Source organism: Homo sapiens, chromosome 18, assembly GCF_000001405.40.
Source record: "Homo sapiens chromosome 18, GRCh38.p14 Primary Assembly".
In the NCBI taxonomy this organism is placed as follows: domain Eukaryota; kingdom Metazoa; phylum Chordata; class Mammalia; order Primates; family Hominidae; genus Homo; species Homo sapiens.
This window is the reverse complement of record NC_000018.10, coordinates 70,181,766-70,205,707: the sequence shown is the minus strand read 5'-3', so window position 1 is coordinate 70,205,707 and position 23,942 is coordinate 70,181,766. Positions and strand designations below refer to the sequence as shown.

The 23,942-nt window shown below is 37.0% G+C and overlaps 1 protein-coding gene across 17 annotated transcripts in view, besides 2 other annotated features; it reads left to right on the top strand.

The window, feature by feature from the left end:
- RTTN (rotatin) overlaps positions 21–23,942 on the top strand; it is a 202,657-nt gene continuing 178,735 nt past the window's right edge. For 15 of the 17 annotated variants that reach the window (XR_430072.4, XR_007066140.1, NM_001318520.2 and 12 more), the window contains exons 1-10: positions 21–80; positions 393–580; positions 1,445–1,622; positions 3,725–3,814; positions 6,204–6,294; positions 7,970–8,084; positions 9,060–9,207; positions 12,255–12,420; positions 14,989–15,170; positions 17,485–17,600. Coding sequence is in view for 14 of the 17 variants with exons in the window: in XM_047437468.1 (XP_047293424.1) it covers positions 50–80; positions 393–580; positions 1,445–1,622; positions 3,725–3,814; positions 6,204–6,294; positions 7,970–8,084; positions 9,060–9,207; positions 12,255–12,420; positions 14,989–15,170; positions 17,485–17,600 (1,305 nt within the window). In the remaining 3 variants the exon portion in view is untranslated. Of the gene's footprint in view, positions 81–392; positions 581–1,444; positions 1,623–3,724; positions 3,815–6,183; positions 6,295–7,969; positions 8,085–9,059; positions 9,208–12,254; positions 12,421–12,532; positions 12,601–14,988; positions 15,171–17,484; positions 17,601–23,942 lie in introns of those variants that run through there. The other 2 variants (XM_017025694.2, XM_017025695.2) reach the window with 2 other exon arrangements.
- Positions 192–321: an enhancer, noted in NCBI's record as "active region_13484". NCBI's record gives its function as "activates an Ori minimal core promoter by ATAC-STARR-seq in GM12878 lymphoblastoid cells {active_cell/tissue: GM12878}" and the evidence as "EXISTENCE:reporter gene assay evidence [ECO:0000049][PMID:35858748]".
- Positions 11,310–11,359: an enhancer, noted in NCBI's record as "active region_13483". NCBI's record gives its function as "activates an Ori minimal core promoter by ATAC-STARR-seq in GM12878 lymphoblastoid cells {active_cell/tissue: GM12878}" and the evidence as "EXISTENCE:reporter gene assay evidence [ECO:0000049][PMID:35858748]".

Sequence of the window (23,942 nt, the reverse complement as noted above, 5' to 3'; positions counted from 1 at the left end):
AGTGGCGCGGCAGTTTAATTCTCCGGCGGCTGCAGATTGACGGGACGAGATGGTCCTGGCAGGGCTCATCAGGAAACTCGGTAACTGTCAGCTTGCCCCTCGCCCAAGGCACCCCCCGCGCTCTGGCCACTTGCTGAGAATGGTCGTGTCACGTTTCCGCGGCCGGCCGCTCCGCGACCGCTCCCTCTTTCACCCCCGCTTTGTCAGGATAGCCCCCGGGGACCCATCTCGGACTTTGTGTAAACTTCGCGGTTCGCGTCCCGAAGGCACCAGTGGCCTGCTTCTGAAAAAAACTGGTTTATTCCGTCTTCACGCCGCTCCTGCCCACAGCATAAATAACGTAGTCTCTTTGCAGTCGGGAAATAAAATAGTTTTGTGCCGTTCGTTGACAGGTCATCAGCTGGCCGAGATCAGGGAGCGCGCTCTCAAGAGTATTCTCTGCAAGATTGAGCACAACTTAATCTGCTACGCTGATCTCATTCAGGAGAGGCAACTTTTTCTTCATTTGCTGGAATGGTTCAATTTCCCGTCCGTTCCGATGAAGGAAGAGGTTCTGAACCTGTTAAGCAGATTGGTTAAGGTAGGGTCATTTTGAAATAAAGAAAATAATCAGACGAGTGACTTGTTTCTTAGTCATTTAATTGTAGCGTTTATTGAAAGTTAAATAATTGGGGTTAAAAGTTTTTTTAATCAACCAGAGATGTTTAATTTTAATTAATCTGGGTATATGGTTCATCTTTTATTTGTGATACTGAATCCCACATGGTCTCTGCTGTGCTCAGAAGTAACACAGAACTTCTTTTGAGTTTTGGTATGTTCTGTGTTTTTGAGTTATCTTTGGAGGTTAATATTTGTATTCTGTTTTTGTTTTCTGACATTTACATCTTAAAAACTAGATATGTCAGTATGAAAGGGAGCACTTTAAAAATAATGTTACATAACCGTGATTCATAAATACCAATGTTAAGTTGCTTGCCCATATGCTTTTAGATTGGTATTCTTATGCCTACCTCAAGAGTAGTTAGTTATCGGGGTCAGATATCAAAGTGTAAGTTTAACCTTTCAAAACTAAATCACTGTACAATGGTAGAGGAATCTTAAACTACTTTGACATCCTGTTGACCGGTTGGGGCTGGGACCATAAGGTGAGTGTCAGTGGAAAAAAGTAACCCATTAAAAAAATAAGAGTAGGGATTGATAATGTGCATTTCTAGCGTTCAGTGTGTTGGCTCATCTTTCATAAATGTTATCAAGTGTTGGATGTATGTCTCTATAGGTGTATGTGCTCCTCATGGAAGTGCCTTACTTCGGGGCAGAGCCATGAAGGATTTGTTTTTCAGAAAAGGAACATCTGATATACCAAAAATAATTTTATGTTTTGATTGCTGTAAGTTATAGAGATTTTGATACAGTTATTCTCAAGATCATCCTCTTCTTATTTTAGTATCCCCCAGCAGTCCAACATTTGGTTGACGTTGGTGCAGTAGAGTTCTTATCTAAGCTTCGGTCTAATGTGGAGCCAAATCTGCAGGCTGAAATTGATGGCATTCTGGATGGACTTTTTCTTCTTCCTTCGGAAGTTCCTGCACTATCTTCTGCCTCATACCAAACCAATCAAACTGGTAACTCTTTGGAATCTGTTAAATACAAATATATTAATTCTAATGGTAAATTTTAAGGAAAGGGAGATTAGATTTTTTTAAAAAGGATTTCTCCCACCTCCCCCAAACTTATTTTTCTTGTGTTAACTTACATGATTTTGACCTTTTTCCCCTCCTCTACTGTTAGTCAAAGGATGGTACATTTGCATTAATTGCTTTTTGGGTCAGGCCTAAACGATGCCAGTGACTTTGCTTTTATGAGGCCAGTTTGACAGATTATTTTTTTGGCAATAACAATGTATTTTTATTGAGCACATGAGTGCTCATTGTTCTTAGTGCTTTATATTTGTATTTTTGACCTTGTTCGTCATATTGGAGTATAATGATATCTGTCCTAGCTCATGATCTTGTTGTGGGGACCAATCAAAACGACATAATGCAAGTATTTTTATATGCTGCAGTCCATCATGATATACTTGTTAAAATCCAAGTCAAAGAGACATGGATTTAAGTCTCAGTTCTGCTGCTAGTTGTGTGACCTTGGCTAAGGTAATTAACCCTTCCAGGCTTCAGTTTTCTCATTCAAAAACTGGGATAATAAGAAAGAACACCGGGCTGGGCATGGTGGCTCACGCCTGTAATCCCGGCACTTTGGGAAGCCGAGGCAGGTGGTCAGAAGTTCAAGACCAGCCTGACCAACATGGTGCCCCGTCACTACTAAAAATACAATACAAAAATTAGCCGGACATAGTGGCGGGCGCCTGTAATCCCAGCTAGTAGGGAGGCTGAGGCAGGAGAATCACTTGAACCCGGGGGGCGGAGGTTGCAACGGTGAGCTGAGATCACTCCATTGCACTCCAGCCTGGGTGACAGAGCAAGACTCCATCTCGAAAAAAAAAAAAGAACACTTTCTCATAGAATCGTCATGAGATTAGATGAGACAATGTCTGTAAAGTGCTTAGCACAGGGCCCAGCATGTATGAAATGTGGCTGTGTTGGCTGCTGTGCTGCTGCTGTTGTGTTGTTGTTAATGCCTAGTATAGTGCCTTGCACATGGAATGCATTTGAATTGATTTGAAGAAAAACATCTTCATGCAATTTATGTGACTGAGTAGTAAAAGTAAAAAAAAAAAAAAAAAGTTTTGATGCTTAACCTGTTAGACCATATTTTCTTCTCTGCCAGTACTGTTACAGCTTCAGCTGTGGGTACTGCGGTTCACAACAACAATAGCAGCTGTCATTTATTGAGTTTTGTTGTGGGCATTGAATACATTGATTTAAACACATCATCTTGTTAAATCTTAAAGCAGCCTTTTGACTGAGATGTTATTAGTCTTACTCTATAGCTGAGAATAAAAGTATAAAGTAACTTGCCCCACAGTACCAAGTTTTCTAACCTGTAGCAGATGCAGGATTCTAACATTGCTTTATCTGGCTCCCAAACCTGTGATTTTTAACAATATATTTTACAGTTTCGAAGACATCACAAATAAAGTAGAGTCTTACACTGTGAATTTTTAATCTGATTCCTTGCGGGTGAAAGTAGAGGAATGGTTTAGGGCTAAATGTTATTTTTCTTTATTAGTGTTAGGAACTATTGCCATGAAAACTTAAAATTACAAACTATAGTTTTAGCCTTTTCCTCATTTTCATTGCAGCTGAACTGCTGAACATATAATCGCATGTTATAGGGAATTGTAAAGGTATTGAAAGATAATATTTGACTCCTTTGTTTTTGACAACTTTCTTTTTAAGGTATGAATGAAAATTGAAGTGATCAGGAACTATATAATTGGAGTCAAGGGAGAGGGAGATGGATTAGGAAGTAGAGAGGGATAGTCCTTGAATACTTTGTAGCAGATTCTTCGTGTACATTCTAACAAATAACTGTGTTTGGCTAACAGTAAAAGTGAGAGGGAAAAAGCTTCTTAACTGGAAGTGGGCTCAATGTGCACATTTTTTCCTCTTTAGCAAGATAGATCATTCAGAAAAAAAACTGGACTTTTTTTTAATTTTTAAAATGATTCCAATACTTAAGAGAAAACATTACCACTTAAAGAAAGTAAGTTTCACTTTTAGCAAATAAGGAATCGACAATACAGTAATGTTTATTTCCTTTTCAGAATTGTCAAAAAACCCTGAAATCTTAACAGGATATTTTCCCCAAGACAAAAGTAATTTCCAGCAGATGGAAGTGCCGCCACGACCAGTGGGTGTGTATATGTCGGGAAGTAAATCCTGTTGACTTGGGAAGTTGAAAATTAATGTACTTTTTTCGTTATTGTGAAGATGTATTTTTACCAAACTTGAATGTTTCAGCACCAAACTATCATTAAATGTTTTAGTTGTTTCAAGTTAGTTTAGGATATCGAGTAGAAATGATAAAATTTTGTGTTATTCTAACCATATTTGAACAACTGTGTAGATGGATGGTATTAATGGCAGTAGTATGTCGTACTGAATGAACATGAGTTTTTTTTTTTTTTTTTTTTTTTTTTTGAGATGGAGTCTCGCTCTGTCGCCCAGGCTGGAGTGCAGTGGTGGGATCTCGGCTCACTGCAAGCTCCGCCTCCCGGGTTCACGCCATTCTCCTGCCTCAGCCTCCCAAGTAGCTGGGACTACAGGCGCCCGCCACTACGCCCAGCTAATTTTTTGTATTTTTAGTAGAGACGGGGTTTCACCGTTTTTTTTTTAGCCGGGATGGTCTCGATCTCCTGACCTCGTGATCCGCCCGCCTCGGCCTCCCAAAGTGCTGGGATTACAGGCGTGAGCCACCGCGCCCGGCCGAACATGAGTTTTTTGAGGCATTGTGCCCTGCACTACACATGTCATCTCATTTGTTCTCCAGCTTAACGATGGCACCATCTATCCAGTTACGCCAGCCAGAGGCTGAAGATCATTTTAGTTTCTTTTCCCATTTCCTCACCACCCAGTTAATTAAAAAGTTCTGATTTAGAACCCTGTTTCTGGAATCTGGAATCTCATCTCCATCTTTTTGTATCTGGCTGTGTTCAGCCTCAGCTCACATGCCACCTCATCAGAGACCTTCCTGGTGATTCTAGCCAGTGATCACTTCCTATGTGTAGTTTTCTTCCTAACACATTATTTTTTATTATTTTTGTTTTAAGTTTGATAATAGCCGTGAACATTGCATTATTTTCAGTGTCTGGAACAATACCAAAAAATGTATTAGGCACTCAGTATATATTCTTTGAAGGAATGAATGAATCCTCCTGGAGTGTCTTTGAGATTGGTATTATTAGTGACCACATTTTACTAATAAAGACACTGAGATTAGAAAGGTTGAAAACTTTGTCCTTGGTGAGGCAGTTAGGAAGTAGTTAAGTAATCACGTACTTACCATTTTCTTGCCTGCACAGTTAAGTTGAAAAGGATATGTTCAAGAGTATATCTGCTGATGTCACATATTCAAATGAACTCCATTTGGAAGCCTCTGTTATTAAAAAGCTTTCATGGAAACTCACAGGTGGAATAACAAGAAAGAACTGAAAACTTGTTAAGCCATTAGAATACTTTACCTTTTCATTCATTGTTAGGCTTGTAGCAAGCTTTGTTTTTGAGGCCAGATGGCTGAGAGGCTTAATTCCATCAAGATGAGAGACATCTGAAGGGAGGGGGAATCTCTAGGGTTGGTAAAGGATGGGTGTCTGAATGAAGCCGATGAAAACATTAAGGGGGATTGAGATTGTTACACTTTTATGTGAGTTGCAGTTTGTCTTGATTGAGGGTCTGGCTTATTTTGGACACATTTTTACTGTGTGGTGTAAGCCTGTCCTTCCCTCCACCCACCTCTCCTTATTTCCTTAGAAAGTAAATCCTGCTTTTATGTTAGCAATTTTGAAAGAAGTAACTGTGCTATGTTTGGGAATTTAATAATACTGCTATCCACATTTAGCGATTCCATGCTCTTTTCAAAGCACTTGGCAGAAAGACTGCCATTTGGAAGGACTTATGTAGATGCTATTTCTCAGTGTTGCCACCTTAACTTGTACTATATAAGATCTGTTAAAAATAACTTGCATGGGGATAGTTTAAAACTGTTGCTTTCTCAGATTTCTTTTAATCTTGTTCGAACACTGATACTTGTTTTTTGACCTTACGGTCTTCAAGTCATCTTCGCAGAGGTTTAAAACACCTGACACCATATAGGATATTTGAACATGGCTAGATATGGTATATCATTATGTTTTATCATTTTTAATTTTGAAAAGTTAAGGTTTTCCCTAAATGTCAGTTCCTTTTATGTTGAATTTAAGTTTGATGTTCTGGTCAGCCACAGGGTAAAATAGAAAATTTAATGGAAACTTCATATGTCAGTCTGTATTGGATTGTGTTTAATGCTCTTCTTCTAATACTTATTTTGATATCATATGAGTTCTGTTTAAATTATGAAAAGAGAACTCTCTTATTTATCCTGTGATAGAACAAATTTGCAGCTGACCTTGTTTGGTATATTTTAGGTTACTGTAAGATGCAGCCTTTATTTTGGGACTTGTTTTAAAGGGAAAACTTACTCTTAACATTGTGAATCTGTCATCTCTTTATTCTTTGATACCATAAGATTTGCTCTTTCACTGACAGTAAATCAGACTGTGAAGTGCTTGAAGTTTTCTACATTTCCTTGGCTACCCCTGACCACCACAGACAGACATGTCCTCTCCTCTAATGAAAGGTACGGTGCTTGATGTATTTTCAGGTATTTTTGTTCACTTATAGTCATTAAGTTTGATAGTTATTACAATATGTTTTACCAGGAAAAGATACTAGTGGCAGTGAAAGGTAGTAATGGTCATATTTAAATGATTTTTATTTTTCAAAAAGCTAGCCAGAAAAAAATTCCTATTTGCTTTTAATCAATCTACACATCAAGTTTCTTTTATTTATTTATTTATTTATTTTTGAGACAGAGTCTCACTCTGTCACCCGGGCTGGAGTGCAATGGCACCATCTGGCTCAATGCAACCTCCGCCTCCTGGGTTCAAGCGATTCTTGTGCCACAGCCTCCTGAGTAGCTGGAATTACAGGCACGCACCACCACGCTGAGCTAATTTTTGTATTTTTAGTAGAGATGGGGTTTCCCCACGTTGGCCAAGCTGGTCTTCAACTCTTAATCTCAAGTGATCCGCCCCTCTTGGCCTCTCAAAGTGCTGAGATTCCAGGTGTGAGCCACTGCATTTGGCCCACGTTTCTTTTTGTGGTTGGACTCTTGTGTAGTCCTTGGTGACAGGAGTTTTCTCTTATTGGCCAGATTCTCTTATTGGCCATTGCTTATGCCCTTGATTGATAAAAATGGAAAATTGAACATAAATGTAGTCTTTTTGGCAGAATATATTTCAAAATGTGGGCTTCATTAGGAGACAAATTAAACCATGTGGATAAGGTTGGGTACCACTGATCCAATCTAATGTAATGACTGTTAATTGATTGCTACCCACAAGAGTAAATAGCTGATATATAGAGATTTAGAGAGTATTTTAATGTCCAGATTCACTTTGTGCAGTTTCATAAATGCCACAATACACGAGTTATCTGCTTTTTTGGGGTATAAATCTGGAAAATAAAGACCAATTTACTAGGGCTAAGTCCAGATTACAGGTGGATGCCATTAAGTGATTTTTAATAATGACATGAATTCTCTTGGAACAACATATTCGAGAGGCAAAGTGCACATGGGAAAGGGTTAGGAGGTTGTATGATCTCTCAGTTTTGAGTCAGTCCCAAAGGCAGAGATGGCGATAATTTCTAATGCATGCCTGTAGATAGTGAATGGTGGATAGTATAATGGAACTGGGCTGAGAGAAGGGGTGTGATTTTTTTGGGGTGGGGAGTGAACAACTGCCAATCCTAGGTGGGCAGAAGTTGATAGGTGTCCTCTGTATGGGATAAGAGGGGAGTCCTAATCTGATTCACCTTGAGTGGGGAAGATCAGTAAGGACTTTAATTCTTAGAATTTGCCTCTGTACTTTTGTTCTGTCTCATTTCTTAATTTATTTGGCAGATTTCCTAGAATTGTGTGCTCTTTGACCTCATTGAACTCGTTTTGCAGACTTGTGATAATCTCTGAGGGTACAGTGTTTAGTATGATGTCGTTCCTGCTCTTGAGAGGGTCTAGTGGGGAATGCAAAATCAACAGGCAGTTAACAATATCACAAATAATGGACAAACGGAAGGAGCACTGCCCTAGAGTTGTTTATTGGTTAGGGAAAAGATCTAGGAAGGCTTTTCTGGAGAAGTGATATCTCAGCTGAGACCCAAAAGATTGTTAATGGAGTCATTGTGTCAGTAGGCTACTTAGAATCTGGAATAGATGAACTCTTCTTAAAAATGATTAACGCTATGTTTTGTAGCTCTTTAAGAAGTAGTAACCACACTTTAATCTGGAACACCTGTGAACTATTGAAGGATGTTATCATGCAAGATTTTCCTGCTGAGATTTTCCTTCAAAGGCCAAAAATTGTTCAGGTCAGTGCCCTCTATAATTGTTTTAGATTTTGAACTAGAGAACTTTTTGCAATAAAGCAAATTTTGCAGAGTAGGAGTTCTTGGGAAGGAACTTTGTACTCATGTTTTTAAAAAGTGAAGTATTTGGCTATTTAAAGCACTTATTCGCTAACTTGGGTGGATAGTTATAGTTCTTCCAATAGTAGTAGTTTCATTTGACACTTGCAGTCCAGTCTGGCCACCTTGAGTTACCATTTATGGATCACCTAAATGGTAGAGTAGACTTTGGACATTGAGATTGTGCAGGAGCCCTTATTAAAAGTAAGAATAGCATTGCTTCTTGAGTATCTCGTTTATTTAACGCACAGTGCTACATGCTGGGAAAATACAGTAGCGGTGAGTAACGCAGATGGATTCTTTTCTTTTTTTCTAGTTTATTGCTTGTATAGTAGAGAGAGAGGGATCCAGGGTGGGGAATTGCAACATCTTCACAGCAGCCAGTAATGGCTCAGCATTCTCGCTCCACACTCCCAGGGCTGAAATGGACTCCAGTGGGTGCCAACTGTTAATACCTAGGATCAAAGCTGGCAAATGATCGCAGAGGAAAGCTGTTAATTACTAAAATGTGGTTAAATGGTTTAGATGCTTGAGATGAAAAGGGCTTGCTGTGATTTTTAAAATGTTCTCTGTAATGTAATGTCCTGAGTGGGGAATAATTTCTGTCTTCTCTCAGAATGGTTACTCAACTAACAGATTTTAGAAATAGGAAACACTGACTATTCTATTTAAATGTTGTTGTCTTATTTTATTTTGACCCATCTCCTTGCTTTATGCCAAGTCATATTTGCCCATTTCAGTTTCTTATGTCTTACAAATATTTGGCAACTTATTTTCTCTTGATTATTCACTTAGGCTTACTTACTTAAGCTCCACATTCTGCTTTGAAGTTGAGCTCTTTGTTCCCTTAGTAATTTTCACGGCTCTTCTTGATTTCAGAGCCTTTTATCTCTGTTGAAACTGGCCTTTGGAGATGGAAAGCATCGCCTGGCATTACAGTCGGTGTCCTGCCTGCAGCAGCTGTGCATGTATTTAAGAAACAGACTTAACTTTCACCGAGATCCAGGTTTTTTCTCCAATAAACACGGTATTTATTTTTATCTGTTCATTAGCCACTGGTGTTATTTGTAGATTCTTCTGGGAACCTTCCATTATAGTTACTGTTAGGGTTTATTGTGTACGCATTTTCACAACATAAACTCCCCACTCCTAAATGTATTCAAATGATTATCTTTACAGATTGCGTGAATGACAGAAACTGCCATGATCTCTTGAGCCTTTTTTTTTTTTTCTGGATAAGAGATATTTACAAGGTGTTTTTCTTTTTTCTCCCAAACTTGCAGAGATTCTATATAGTGTTGTTGGGATGTAGTGACTCGGATATTTGGTATGGCTATTCATGTAGGACTTTGGACAATTTAGCAAGTTACATATAGTGTTAATACATTGTTTTGTTTGAAAAATATTGATTTGAATTTTATGAAGAGTATTTTTATGCAACTTGCAATGTAGTCAAGTGTTGCAGCAATGTGAGACTTCAGAGAAAAAGTGCCACCTAATGGCCAAATAGAGTACCAGCCTGGCTTCGACAAAACCAGTACCATTTAGGATTTTTGTGAGCTTAATGCAACCTGCATCGAAAGTCAAATATTATAGTCATTTGTCATCATGTTTCATAGTTAATCCCTATTTCATTGGGAGTTTCACTGATCCTGTGCTACTTGAATATTTATGCTTTACCTTGGTTTTATTCTAGATCTTAGAGGGTATGGCATTGTACAAATGACTGGTAATAGAGAACGTCTGGGTACCCCATACTTCAACAGAAAAAGAGTTACAATGTTGATTTAAAAAGTTGATATCTCTGAAGAATTGTTAATGTATTTAATAAGTATGTATTTATTACCTGTTTTATGCCCCTGATATTCTAGCCTCTAGGGAAGTATAACACTGAACAAACGAATAAGATCCAAGCCCTTATGAGCTTCTATTTTAAAAGGCTGGGCACAGGTGATAAACAATCAAGTTTGCTTGAGATAAGGAGAAGTACTTGAAGGAAATAAAAAGGGTGATGTGACAGAATGTGGTTGGGTAAACATAGCTTCATTTAGGATAGTCAGGGAAAGTCCCTCAGAAAGCTTCTATTTTAAAAGGCTGGGGACAGGTGATAAACAATCAAGTTTGCTTGAGATAAGGAGAAGTACTTGAAGGAAATAAAAAGGGTGATGTGACACAACGTGGTTGGGTAAACATAGCTTCATTTAGGATAGTCAGAGAAAGTCCCTCAGAGGAGGTGACCTGAAGGGTGACAAGGAATCGTCACTCGAAGAGCTGCAAGAAGAGTGTTCCAGGGAAGGCCAGGCCTCAAGGTTAGCACTGAGGGTGATGTCCTTGAGCAACTGAAATAAAGCCCATGAGAGTGGACTGCAGTGAGCTGGGCAGAAGAGGAGAATGAGGTGACATCAGAGAGGTAGTTAGGGGCCAGAGTATATTGGGGCTTGCAGATCTTTTTAAAGATTTTATATTTTCTTTGAAGTGTAGTGAGAAGCTCTTGGAGAGTTTTTTTTCCCCCTCTCTCTGACTGTAAATGCTTTTATTACCTAATTCTTTTTTTAAATTGGGGTAAAATAGGTATAATATAAAATATGCCATTATAAACATTTTTAAGTATACAATATAGTGACATTAATAACATTCACATTGTTGTGCAGCCATCACCACTATCTGTTTCTAAACCTCTTCATTATCTGAAACAGAAACTCTAATCATTAAGCAGTGATTCCTCATTTTTCCTTTCCCCAAAGCTGGTAAACTCTAATTTACTTTCTGTCTCTGATTTTGTCTATTCTAGGTACCTCATCTAAGAGGAATCATACAGTATTTGTCCTTTTGTGTCTGGTTTATTTGTAATGTTTTCAAGCTTCATCCACATTGTAGCTTGTATCAGAACTTCATTCCTTTATATGGCTGAATAATATTCCTTTGCATGTATATCCCACATTTTATTCATCTATGCATTTGTCGATGGACATGTGGGTTGTACCCACATTTGGCGGTTGTGAATAATGCTTCAGTGAACATTGGCATGCAAGTATCTGTGCAGTGCCTGGTTTCAATTCTTTTGGGTAATACCCAGTGAATAATAGTGAAATTGCTGCGTCATATGGAAATTCTATCTTTAGCTTTTTGAAGAATCACCAAACTATTTTCCACAGCAGCTGTACCATTTACATTTCTATCAGCAATATATAAAGCTTCCAGTTTTTCCACATCATCACTGACTTGTTCATTTTTTTCTTTTTTAAAAATAATCGTAGTCATCCTAGTAGATGTGAAGTGGTATCTCATGGTTTTGATTTGCATTTCTCTAAAGACCTAATAATTAATGACCAATGAATCTCTAATAACTTTTTATGTGCTTATTGTTTGTTCATGTATCTTCTTTGGAGAAATGTTTATTAAAGTTCTTTGCCCATTTTAAAAATTGGACTGGTTTCTTTATTGCTGGGTTTTAGGTTACTTATATATTCTGAAAATTAAACCCTTATCAGATATATGGTTTGCCAATATTTCCTCCCACTCTATAAGTTATCTTAACACTTTCTTGTAATGTTCCCTTGGTGTACCAAAGTTTTAGATTTTGATGAAGTCCAGCTTATCTGTCTGTTCCTTGGTTGTTTGTGCTTTCGATGTCATAGTTAACAATCGATTGCCAAATTCAAGGTCATGAAGATTTATTTTTTCCGCTAAGAGCTTTATGGCTTTAGCTTTTATATTTAGGTTGTTGATCCACTTTGAATTAATTTTTATGTACAGTATGAGGTAGCCATTCTTGGAGAGTTTTAAGCAGACGAGTGCATGATCTAGTGTTTTTCTGCTTTGGTAGTCTCTAATGTTGTAACTGAATGCCATTGACTAGAAGGTCCCATGTAATCAAGTCAGTTAGATATAAACCTAAATGTACTAAGTGAATACTTATAGAAAAGTTTGATCTTTGCTTTTGTTTTTACCCCTGTAGAAGGATTCCTACTATCTTAATTTGTTAATGTTTTTGGAAGAATGATACATAAATACCACATAGTCAGAAGTCTGTTTCTACTAAAGAATAATTTTATTTTTTCTTTGTTTCCCCAGACACAGTTTCCCAAAATTCTTCTTTGTCTTATTGTCATGAAGCAAGAGGTACTCATCATTCCCAGAATCCTTCCCCAGGAAGCAGCAGCCCTCGGCCTTCTGTGGTTGGGCGCACAGGCCAGCGACCCAGAGGAGATGGCCAGGACTGGGATGCAGCGTCCTCTAGGTGACTGCTAGCAGTGTCTCTGGGGAAATGAGAAATGCCGGTTAACTTGTGTGTGTGTTAATTTCAGAAGGAGATAATTATTTTTCTGTCCTTTTTTTTTTTTTTTTTTTTGAAACATTAACACAGGTATAGGCCTTGTGTTAAACCCTGGCTTCATACTTTTTTTGACCATGATCCACGGTAAGGACAGATAAATATTACATCGCAACTCAGTGCTCAGTACTTGAACATATGCTCTGTTTATGTATATATATGTGTGTGTATGTGTCCCCCAAAACAAAATGTTCACATAATAGTATTCTGATACTATGTTTGACACACTGAACTATATTTTCAGTTCCGATTTCATTAGAAAAGAAATGATTCTGACCCAATAAATTGTTTTTACCAGCTGCAAACGGAATATGATCAAGTTTAAAAGAATAGCTTTAAATGATAGATACATTGTTGATAGTATTTTACACATATTTTTGTAAGTCTTATAACAAATGGATAAGTGTTTACTGTTAAAAGGAATGGTTGGAGAATTTTATAAAATAAGGACTCCTTCAAGGTGAACAATTTATGGTATTTGTTTGTGTAAATACAGATTTTTTTCTTTTTTTTTTTTTTTTTTTTGAGACAAGGTCTCACTCTCTTGCCTAGGCTGGAGTGCAGTGGCACGATTATAGCCTTGACTTCTGGGCTCAAGTGATCCTTTCGCCTCAGCCTCCTGAGTGGCTGGGACCACAGATGTGCACTACCATACTTGGCTAAGCCTTTTATTTTTTGTAGAGATGGGGTCTCACTATGTTTCCCAGGCTGGTCTCGAACTCCTGGGCTCAAGTGATCTTCCCATCTTGGCCTCGTAAAGTGCTGAGATTACAGACATGAGTCACCATGCTTGGCCCCCAGTGCTTGGCACCCAGATTTTCATACACCAACTCTGCTTAAAAGGATTGGTGTGGTATTTGTATGTTACCTTATCCTTGGGTGCAAATGTGTTAGAAACATATTAGTCTCTTTAGTGTCATTCTAAAAAATGTTCACTAAGTTAAGCATTGGTCTGTTGGCTTAATTATTTTCTTGCAATACTGCTACTACTGTTAACAAGCTAATACTGATTCATACCTGCTGTGTGTATGGTGTTATGCCCTGTGCTTTGCATACTTTGTCTCCTTTAGTTGTCCTAGAATAGGATTGATATTATATATAGCATTAGTATTATTATTATCATCCTCATTGAGGTTTAGAGAGGTTAAGAGCATAACAGTTGGTAAAGAGCAGAGCTAGGGTTAAATAAAATGATAGGAGAGTCTATGCTCTTAGTCCTTATATTGTAGTTGGTTGTTCAGCCATGTTTTTCTCTTTCTCCTGAAGCCTTTCTGCCTCATTCTCTTGTGTGCTTCATGCTTCTAAGTTTTCACTCCTGAGTGAACAGCTTCCTCACTGAAACTTCCTTTCAGAGTTACAGAGAAGCCCGAGTTGTTTCCATATTTTGGGGTGCTTGGTATCTTGAAATTGAAGAAACGACAAAGTTGGTTTATAATTTGGGCAAATTTAAATGTTCCATAGCATTAATATGTCTCTTGTGATCCAGCTTCGGTTGTGGATAACATCAAAAGACAAAATTTTGAGGCTCTTTGTAAGTGTGAGGCTCTAGCCTTTCTACACTTTTTAAATCCTTACTCCAGCACTTTACATCCGAGGTAAGAACTTTTTAATGAAGAAAGCCAAGGACAATGGGATGTTCCGTTTTTTTGGGTGCATTTTTGAAGTCACTACATGATGTCGAATGTACTAAGTGAAGTAATACATTTCCCATGAGGTTTTTCTAGAAACATCCTTCATTTACTAACACTGGCTTACTCAGAACAGTGGTGAAACTCAGAAAATCTAGGAAACGGTATGAACTATTGGTTTTGTCTCTACACGTTGATTACAGAAGAGCTTTCCTATAAATCTGCTTATTTCCTTTTGGAAATGAATGGGTTATCAGTGCTAATATTGATTCCTACTATAGGAATGTTGACATGTTTTGAGATATCAGCCTGACAAGCAAAATATAGATGCATTTTTGGCTTCATTTACAATTTAGAGTCTTTTTTTTTTTTTGAGATGGAGTCTTGCTCTGTCGCCCAGGCTGGAGTGCAGTGTCGCTATCTCAGCTCACTGCAACGTCTACCTCCTGGGCTCAGAAGATTCTCCCGCCTCAGCCTCCCCAGTAGCTGGGATTACAGGTGTGTGCCACCATGCCCAGCGAATTTTTTTTTTTGTATTTTTAGTAGAGGTGGGATTTCACCATGTTGGCCAGGCTGGTCTTGAACTCCTGACCTCAGGTGATCTGCCCGCCTTGGCCTCCCAAAGTGCTGGGATGACAGGCATGAGCCACCACTCCTGGCCTTGAGTCATCTTTATGGAATTTAATTTCGTAAATTTGTCAAAGTTTCTACAAATCTGACCAGAGTTGAATGAAGCAGTAGAGTTGTGACTTGTATGAGGCTTCTAATATGCGAGGCAGCAGATATGCAGTAAATCTGTTTGGGGATTGTTTCTGTATGCAAGGTTTATCATTTGTTTATCTTGCAGTGGAAGTAGTAGTCATGCTCATGTAAACTCCAGGATATCCGTTCATTCACCTTTGGATATGGGACACATAGATCTGCCAGAGCTGGAAACTGAAGACACATTGGAACTACAATTCCAGCAGCTCAGTCTTCCCCAGTTTTGTGTCTCCATTCTGGAATCAGCTGTTCCTCTCTTAAGAACAGGTTAGTTGTTTTAGAAATCGTAATTCTGATATAATTTGTGTCTGTTTTGTATTTCGTTAGGATTTTCCTTTTTTTCTCTTCTATGTTAGGGCCTTTGGAATCTGTATTTACTTATCTTTTGGGATATAAATTTCTAAAAACCTAATAAGGTCTTTATTATTTTTAAATTAAATGTGGATGCCTTGGAGGGCTATTCAGCTTGCCCTTCCATTTTATGAGTTTTTATTGGCACAGGCTTTCATGCTTATTTTTTTTTTAGAATTTTTATCTATTTTTTGCATTTATTCTTGCTGTCATCTATTTTTTTCTTTTTTTTTTGGACTGTATGGCTATTTTAAATTTGAGCAGTGACAACATTCAGCAACTGGAATAAGGTATAAAAGGTGGACTGGCATGAATAGACCAGAATAAAAAAATCTTTGGCTTTTGCTCTTTGGAAACTTTTTGATTAGCTGTCAGTTGTTTACTCTTCCCATTCATTTCTTGCTACTTAAGCCACTTAACATGTTAAAAACAAAACTCCAAAACTGGATTCTTACCTTTGTAGTAATTTTTCTTAAAAAAGCCACAAATATTTTGAGATCCCATTTTTGTTCAGATGTACTAGGAAAATTTGAAGAGGTTGACTGAAATATACACTGGTATTTAATTGTAATTGTACTGAACAATGGTAACAGCAATAACAATATGACAGAGGTCTGCTGAGTCTAGTAATGAAACAACAGTTAGCACGTGTCCCTACTGGGTTCTGCCTTCATACTTGGTTTTGTGTGCATTATTTCGTGTATTTTTCATATCAACCCATTTTGTTTTTTCACTGGTAGTTAACTAATTTTATCTCCATTTTTACAAATGATGAAGCTGAGTTTTTGAGTGGTTTAGAAACTTGCCTGAAGTCAAACGGCTAAAAGCAGGGACTTGAACCACGATTCTTTTGAATCTAAAGTCCATGCTTTTAAATACTTTAGCATTTTGCAAGGTGTAAAGAAAGTTTTAGAAAGAAAACAGTCATGATTTTTATTCTCAAAATCTATACATTTTCAACGTTTGATAAACTCATCAGGATATAAATAAGATAACCAAGTTTTGCCCTTTTTACTTTATACTGGCAAAGTAAAAATATATATTCCAAGTTAATGGTTCTTTAAGTCCCATGTCTATTTTTTGCCACTTGGAGGTGATGGAGGAGAAAGAAGCAGGAAGGTATATATTTGGAAAACATTTAAAATGTTTTTATCCTGAGGAAAACTGTGTACTCATACTTTTTACTCAGTAAGTGCTTCTACTAGCTGGAACTATATATTAATTCATATACTAATAATGTGAAATGAAGAAAGATCTGAACTTTGGCATCATAAAGTACATATGTTTATCTGTCTGGTAAGCTGAGAAGAACAGTCTTAGACTTTAATGATTTTGCATTTAACCTTTCCTTAATTTGCTTTAAAAAGTCAGATTGATAATTATAAAGCTATATCTTGGTACATAAAAACTAAATGTTCTCCTGCCCTTTTGTGGTAAATTATGGCATGATTTGTAACTGTTCAATATCGTAAGAGATTTGTAAGAGAATTTGGTCCAGCTCTTCTAGTGAAAAAATTAATCTAGATCCTTCCAATCTGGTAGTTTGTTTTACTTTGATTCATTAGAACTTAACCTTTGGGATGCGGGGTGGGAAAGTCTCGTGTGAATGTTCGTCTCACACAGGATAATGGAAGTGGAGTCTTTGTTATTCTGTCTCTGTGGAGAAAGGAGGTTGCTCTGGTGGGTGTGACTTTGGGAAGTTTTTTTGAGTTTAAGGTGAGTACAAATAGTTTCTTTAGCAAATGTTAGCATGTTCATTTATTCCTTTAGTTGCTCCAGTCCAAGCTTAGCTTCCCAGGCAACTCCTGTGTGGGAAAATACTAATTTATGAGAAGGCTCACGCCTTCTAGTACTAAGTAGAAATTATTGGAATACGTTTTCTAAACCTTTCTGGTGCTTTGTCACATATTACGTGTAAAATGGATGGTCCCTAAATTCGAAAAATTATTTTAATCTATCTCACAGTACTTGTTAGATTATTGCTACTTTCAATATCTTTTCCAATTATAAATGTATTTGATTTGTTATGTAGTAAAGTAGTACTGTGACTGGAACAGAAGCCTTCAGTGTGATTGTAAATTGTGATTTCTCTACAGTTCTAAGAACATTAGAAAAAAAGAGAAAATGTTGGAGCATGACTAACTAGAAAATTGAGCAATATGATATTCAGCTGATTATTTTAAAGTTAAGTAACTTCTTCTCCTTTACTTTTTTCTGTTTGTATTCCTAGGTAGCAGACAAGTGATAATAAGAGTTCTGGAATTGCTTACAGAGGATATGACACTTATTGGTGAAGCAATTTCAACAGATATCTGGGATGACAGCAGCCTTTTTGGTATAGATATGGTAAGAATCAATGTTTTCTTTGGGATATAGGGAATAGTATTTTTTAAGATTTTGGTTCTTTTAAGCCGGTTTCATTGTCTCATTCGTGTTCAAAATCTTTTTTCTTTTTGACTCAATATGTCCCAGGCTTATGTTATAAATAGCCTGGAACAGGCCTATTTTTCCAAAGGTTCTGGTTACTTCTAATAGTGGAACGTATATTAAGACCAAAACCAGGCCATTAGAGGTGGTTATAGCTACTGTGATATCATTCTTTTCTTTCAGGAACAATTAGGAAATACGTATTTTTAAAGATCGTGAGTTTATTGCTATTTTTCTTATTTTAAATTTGTATTTCTTATCCTTGCGCTTGTAGAAAGTCTTCGTTCCTAGCAATATCAGCATAATTGCTTATTAGCTTTGACCTTAAACATACATAAGATAGTTTCAGAACAGCAATATTAACATTGCTATGAACAATTCTAATGAAAAGTTCAAGATTTCCTGGCAGTTCTTTTTGAGATAGACTAATCTCACTAAGGATATACAGTCAAAATACTGTGCCTTAAAGCTACCGTTACCCATTCAGCATACAGTTAGATTTTTTTTTGTTTGTTTTCACTATTGGGAATTGTTTTTTCTTCATAAAAATGTAGCTCAGAGATGCCTCTCTCCCATCCAGTTACCTTTAAGATGTTTTCCTTATTGGTAGTCATTTTTATTTTCTGGCTATTTTTTTCTATTTTTATTTTATTTTTGCAAATGTAAGCAACTAAGTATGTAGATTCTTATCCTCTCCCCATCCTGCATAAAAGGTGGTATATTATAGACACTGTTTTGCACCCTGTTTTTATAACTTAAAAATACGTCTTATGTGCATAGAATAGTAGGTATGAGGATTATTCCCTATCTATCTATACGTGAGATTTTCTCGTTCTTTTTTATAGGTAGCAAATGCTTCGTTGTGTATTTGTTAACCTAGTCTCTTGATGGATATTATTGTTAATATAAATTATGTACAAAGAATAATGGGCTTATGCTATTTCATAAATGTGCAGGTATGTCTCTAGGGTAGATTTATTTAAGTGGGCATGCTGTTTTTCTAAAAAACTTTTATTTAGCTTCAGCGGTACGTGTGCAGGTTTGTTATGTAGGTAAACTGTGTCATGGGGGTTTGGTGTACAGATTATTTTGTCACCCAGGTAATAAGCCTAGTACCCGATAGGTAATTTTTGTGGTCCTCCTCCCACTCTCTGCCGTCGAGTAATCCCTGGTGTCTGTTATTCCCCTCTTTGGGTCCATGTGTTCTCATTGTTTAGCTCCCACTTATAAGTGAGAATATGTGTATTTGGTTTTCTGTTTCTGGATTAGTTTGCATAGGATAATGGCCTCCAGCTCCATCCATGTTGCCGCAAAGGATATGATCTCATGCATTTTTATGGCTGCATAGTATTCATTGGTGTGTATGTACCACATTTTCCTTAATCAGTCTCCCATTGATAGGCATTTAGGTTGATTCCATGTCTTTGCTATTGTGAATAGTGCAGCAGTGAACATACACATGTATGTGTCTTTATGGTAGAATGGCCTCAAGTGATCTGCCTGCCTTGGTCTCCGAAAGTGCTAGAATTACAGGTGCGAGCCACCGCGCCCGGCTGAGCCATGTTGTTTATGTAGTAGTACAGCAGTTCCTCACTTGGCATCATAGATAGGTTTTCGGAAACTGTGACTTTAAGCAAACTGACTTATAACAAACCCAGTTATTTTTTCTCATCAGCATTTAGTGAAATGGCATGGAACTTGTAATGCTGTTTCATTAAAGTCAGTTTCCAAGAACCTGTTGACCAAGTTAAGTGAAGGCTTACTGTAGTTTATTCATTTTATTTCTGAGTAGTATTACATTGTGTGGACATACCACAATTTGTTTATCCATTCACCTGTTGGTGGACAATGGGGTTGTTTCTAGTTATTACAAATAACATTCCTATGGACATTCCAGTTGTTCCACATCTTCAACATCTATTATGTTCAGTTTTTTTTTTTTTTTTGGGGGGGAGAGGGCATTCTGATAGATGTGCAATGGTATCTTAGTGGGTTTTAATTTGCATTTCCCTAGTGACTGATGATTATGAGCATCTTTTGTAATTTTTAGAGAGCAAGTCTAGGTTTTTTTTTAAAAAAACACTTATTCTTAAGTATTCTTTTCAATGCCATTGTGAATGAAAATTTTAAAAGTTTTTGGATTGCTCATTGTTAGTATATAGAAATACAATTGATTTTTGTGTATTGATCGTCTATTTGGTGGCCTTGCTGAACTTACTAGTTCTGGTAGTTTTTTTTGTTTTGTTTTGTTTTCTGGTAGATCCCTTAGGATTTTCTATCTATAAAATCTTGTTATCTGTGAATAAAAACAGTTTTAAGATCATCTTATCTGTGAATAAAGACAGTTTTATTTCTTTCTATTCACTCTGGATACCTTTAATTTTTTTAAATTGCCTAATTGCCCTGGCTAGAAGCCTTAGTATAATGTTGGATGGATGTGGTGAGAGCCTTCTTCATGATTTAGAGGGAAGCATTCGATCTTTCACCATTAAATACAAGATTAGCTCTAGTACATTTGTATTTTGTAGATGCCTTTATAAAGTTGAGGAAGTTCCATGTATTCTTAGTTTGTTGAAAGTTTTGATCATGAATGATTATTGTATTTTGCCAAATCTTTTGTCTCTATTGAGATGATCATTTAGCTTTTTGAAGAGCAGAAAAACTTAATTTTGATGAGGTTCAGTTTCTTAGTTTTTCTTTTATGGATCATGCTTTTGATATTTTATCTAAGAAATCTTTGCCTAACTTGGAATACAAAGAGTGTTTCCTATGCTTTCTTTTAGAATTATTACATATGTTTTAGGTTTTATATCTTTGATTAATTTTGAGTTGATTTTTGTATCTAGCACAAGGTAAGGAATGAACTTTTTTTTTTATGGGTATACAATTATTTTCTCAGCACTATTTGTTCAAATGACTGTCCTTTCTTTCCTGAATTCCTTACCAACTAACTATATGTGGGTTTACTTCTGGAATCTATTTGATCGGTTTTCTCTTATGATGCCAATACCCAACTGACTTAATTATTGTAGCTTATAGTGAAGGCTTATAGTTAGCTATAGTGAAGCTTATTGTAAGTCTTGAAATAAGGTAGTATAAGTCCTTCAACTTTGTTCTTGTTTTTTTTTTCTGATATGTAGTCCTCGCTCTGTTGCCCAGGCTGGAGTGCAGTGGCGCCATCTCGGATCACTGTAAGCTCCACCTCCCAGGTTCACGCCATTCTCCTGCCTCAGCCTCCCAAGTAGCTGGGACTACAGGCGCCCGCCACCACACACACACACACACACACACACACACACACACACACACAAAAAAAAAAAAAACCTGCTGTGGTTTTGAATGGAATTGAGTTGAATTTGTAGATCAATTCAGGAAAAATTGACATCTTAATAGTATTGAATCTTCTGATCCATGAATACCATATATATGTCTTCACTTGTTTAGCTCATTATTTATTTTTATTTTTATTTTTTTTAACATGGAATCTCATTCTGTCACCCAGACTGGAGTGCAGTGGCATGATCTTGGCTCACTGCACTGTCCGCCTCCCGGGTTCAAGTGACTGTCACTACAGCTTCAGCCTCCCAAGTAGCTGAGATTACAGGCATGTGCCCAGCTAATTTTTTTGTATTTTTAGTAGAGACAGGGTTTCACCATGTTGGCCAGGCTGGTCTCGAACTCCTGACCTCAGGTGATCTGCCTGCCTCGGCCTCCCAGAGTGCTGGGACTACAGGCATGAGCCACTGTGCCCAGCCTTATTTAGCTCTTTAATTTGTCTCTGCATTGTTTTGAAGTTGTCAGTGTATAGGTCTTATACATTTGAGTATTTCAGTTTTGGGTCTTGTCCACTGGCTGACTTTTCTCTTTATGGATCTTAATATTTGATATGTGTAGTAATTTCTGATTGGATGCTGGACCTTTTCAATGTTACCATGTTGAGTGTCTTGATTTTTTATTTTACCCTTTTAGAAGCACTTTGGGAGGGTTCTGAAGCACTTTGGGAGGCCAGCATGGGAGCATTACTTGAAGCCAGGAGCTTGAGATGAACCTGGGCAACAAAGTAAGATCTTGTCTCTTCAAAAATTAGTAACATTAGCTGGGCATGTAGGTGCATACCTATAGTCCCAGCTATTTGGAAAGCTGAGGCAGGAGGATCACTCGAACCCAGAAGTTTGAGGCTGACAGGTGGTTATGTTACTTGTAGAGCAGTTTCATTTTCTCAAGACTTTAAAAAATTTTGCTAGAATGGGTCTAAAATAGTGGTTTTCAACTGGGGGGTAATTTTGCTTCCCAGAGGATGTTTGGCAACGTCGGGAGCCATTTTTGATTGTCACACCTGGAGTGGTGCTGCTGGCTTCTAGTAGATAGAAGCCAGAACAGCTCACCACAACAAAGAATGTTTTAGCTCAAGATGTCAGAAAACCTTGAGGAAGTGTTAAGGTTGAGAAACCCTGATCTAGAAGAACCTTTGCTTGGGGTTAAACTCTGCTCCTGAGATGTGATCCTTTGGGACCTCTATTGAATGTCCAAAGTGATGATTGATGACTGTCTACTCTGCCTGGTTGAAGACTGAGTTTTATTGTCTTGTGTGAGCCCTGGGAGTTGTTCAATTTAAATCTCAGTAATCATCTTTGGCCTGTATTTACAGAGTATCTACCTATAATCTAAGCCACCTAATCTCAGCATGGTCTGGGTGGAAACTTGTTTAGGTCTCTGAAATTCTTTCTTTGCATAGCTCTCCCACAATTCCTAACCATGTCAGCTTCCACAGGCATCTTCATCTCCTAAAGTCATCGAGACTGTCAGACTCTTTGGATTTCTCTTGCCTGTGTTTGCTGTACAGTAATTGTTTTCAGGTATAGTAGGACTCTCATTGCTTATTTTCCTTCTCTCTGGCATCACAGTCCTGCAATGACACTATGCCACTTTCTAGTTGATTTCTGGGGAAGGACAGGAGATGTCCTTGTTATTATTTCATGGCCAGAATTGGAAGTTTTACGTAAAGTTTTTAATTATGTCATTTAAGCAACTGGCCTATCTGTGAGTTATTAGGAGCTTAAATGTACATTTATCTAGAGTGAAAATTCTGGATCAACTTTAGAATAATCATTCAAAGTGTGGAGAGTTCAGGATACCTTGTTTTTTGCTGTTTGTATTTCAGTAGAGTAGATAATTTTAGAAAATATGGAATTAAATTTTGTTTTTTTTGTAAGAAGTGTTTTGATAAGTAATATTTTGCATGAGTAATCAACATGTGTACAGTAGTAGCCTTAAGAATGTTATATTACAACATAATATTTAAGAGATCTATGGAATACCAGAGTATGTCTCCATGTAACTGGAAAACATATCTTTTTTAACATTTCAAAATATCATAAATCATTTGTCATTTAATATCTTTCATTTTGAAATTGTCATCTGATAACCTTGCCTTCCTTGAAGATTTGGCATTCTATCTCTTCTGTTAATGTGAATTCCTAATGTCTGGTCTTCCTTCCTCTCCCTTTCTTCCTTCCCCTCTCCCTTCCTCCCTTCCCTTTTGCTGCCTTGTCAGGGCAGTAGAATCAAAATTTATTAGTCATAAAAATATATATTGACTCTTACGTTTATCAGTTTTTTTTCTCTTTATGCTATTTTGATGTAAGTCGGTCTATATTTAATTAAACATTGTTACAGGCTGTCTGAAATCCTTGTGAATAGAGGTCTGAATATAAAAAAATAAATTACAGATATTTACATAATAACAATACCCATGTAAGAAAGAAACCCAAACTTTTATTTTTTTCATAACACGAGCCTCTTAAAAAGAGAAACAAACTGCATATTTTAAAATGGGTGTATTTTCAAGTCTTTCATTTTCTGATAATAGTTCTGAATCTTGGTTTTTCTTTAGTCCTTAAGGTTATCACACTATTTTGTAGTACTTTTAGGAGATTTTTCACATATTGAAGATTTTCAACAAGTAAATTTTTCCTTTGAAGTGTGAGGAATGCTTTATCAGTTGTTTCTTAAATTAACTTAAATTTTCTTGGCCAGAACATTTATCTGTAAAAGTTAGTCATTCACTTTTAACTTTTGGCTGCTGGTACTTTATGATTCAATGAATTATTTTTACTTTAAAGGTTAATTCTGTTGTACAAGTGCCAGTTGGTATGTTACAAATGCTAAATAAAACAGAAGTACTTCAAATTATATTTGATTTACTTTTACTTGTTTAAAAAGAATAAATGTCTCTTTTCTTTGGCTATATTTTAAAAGAAG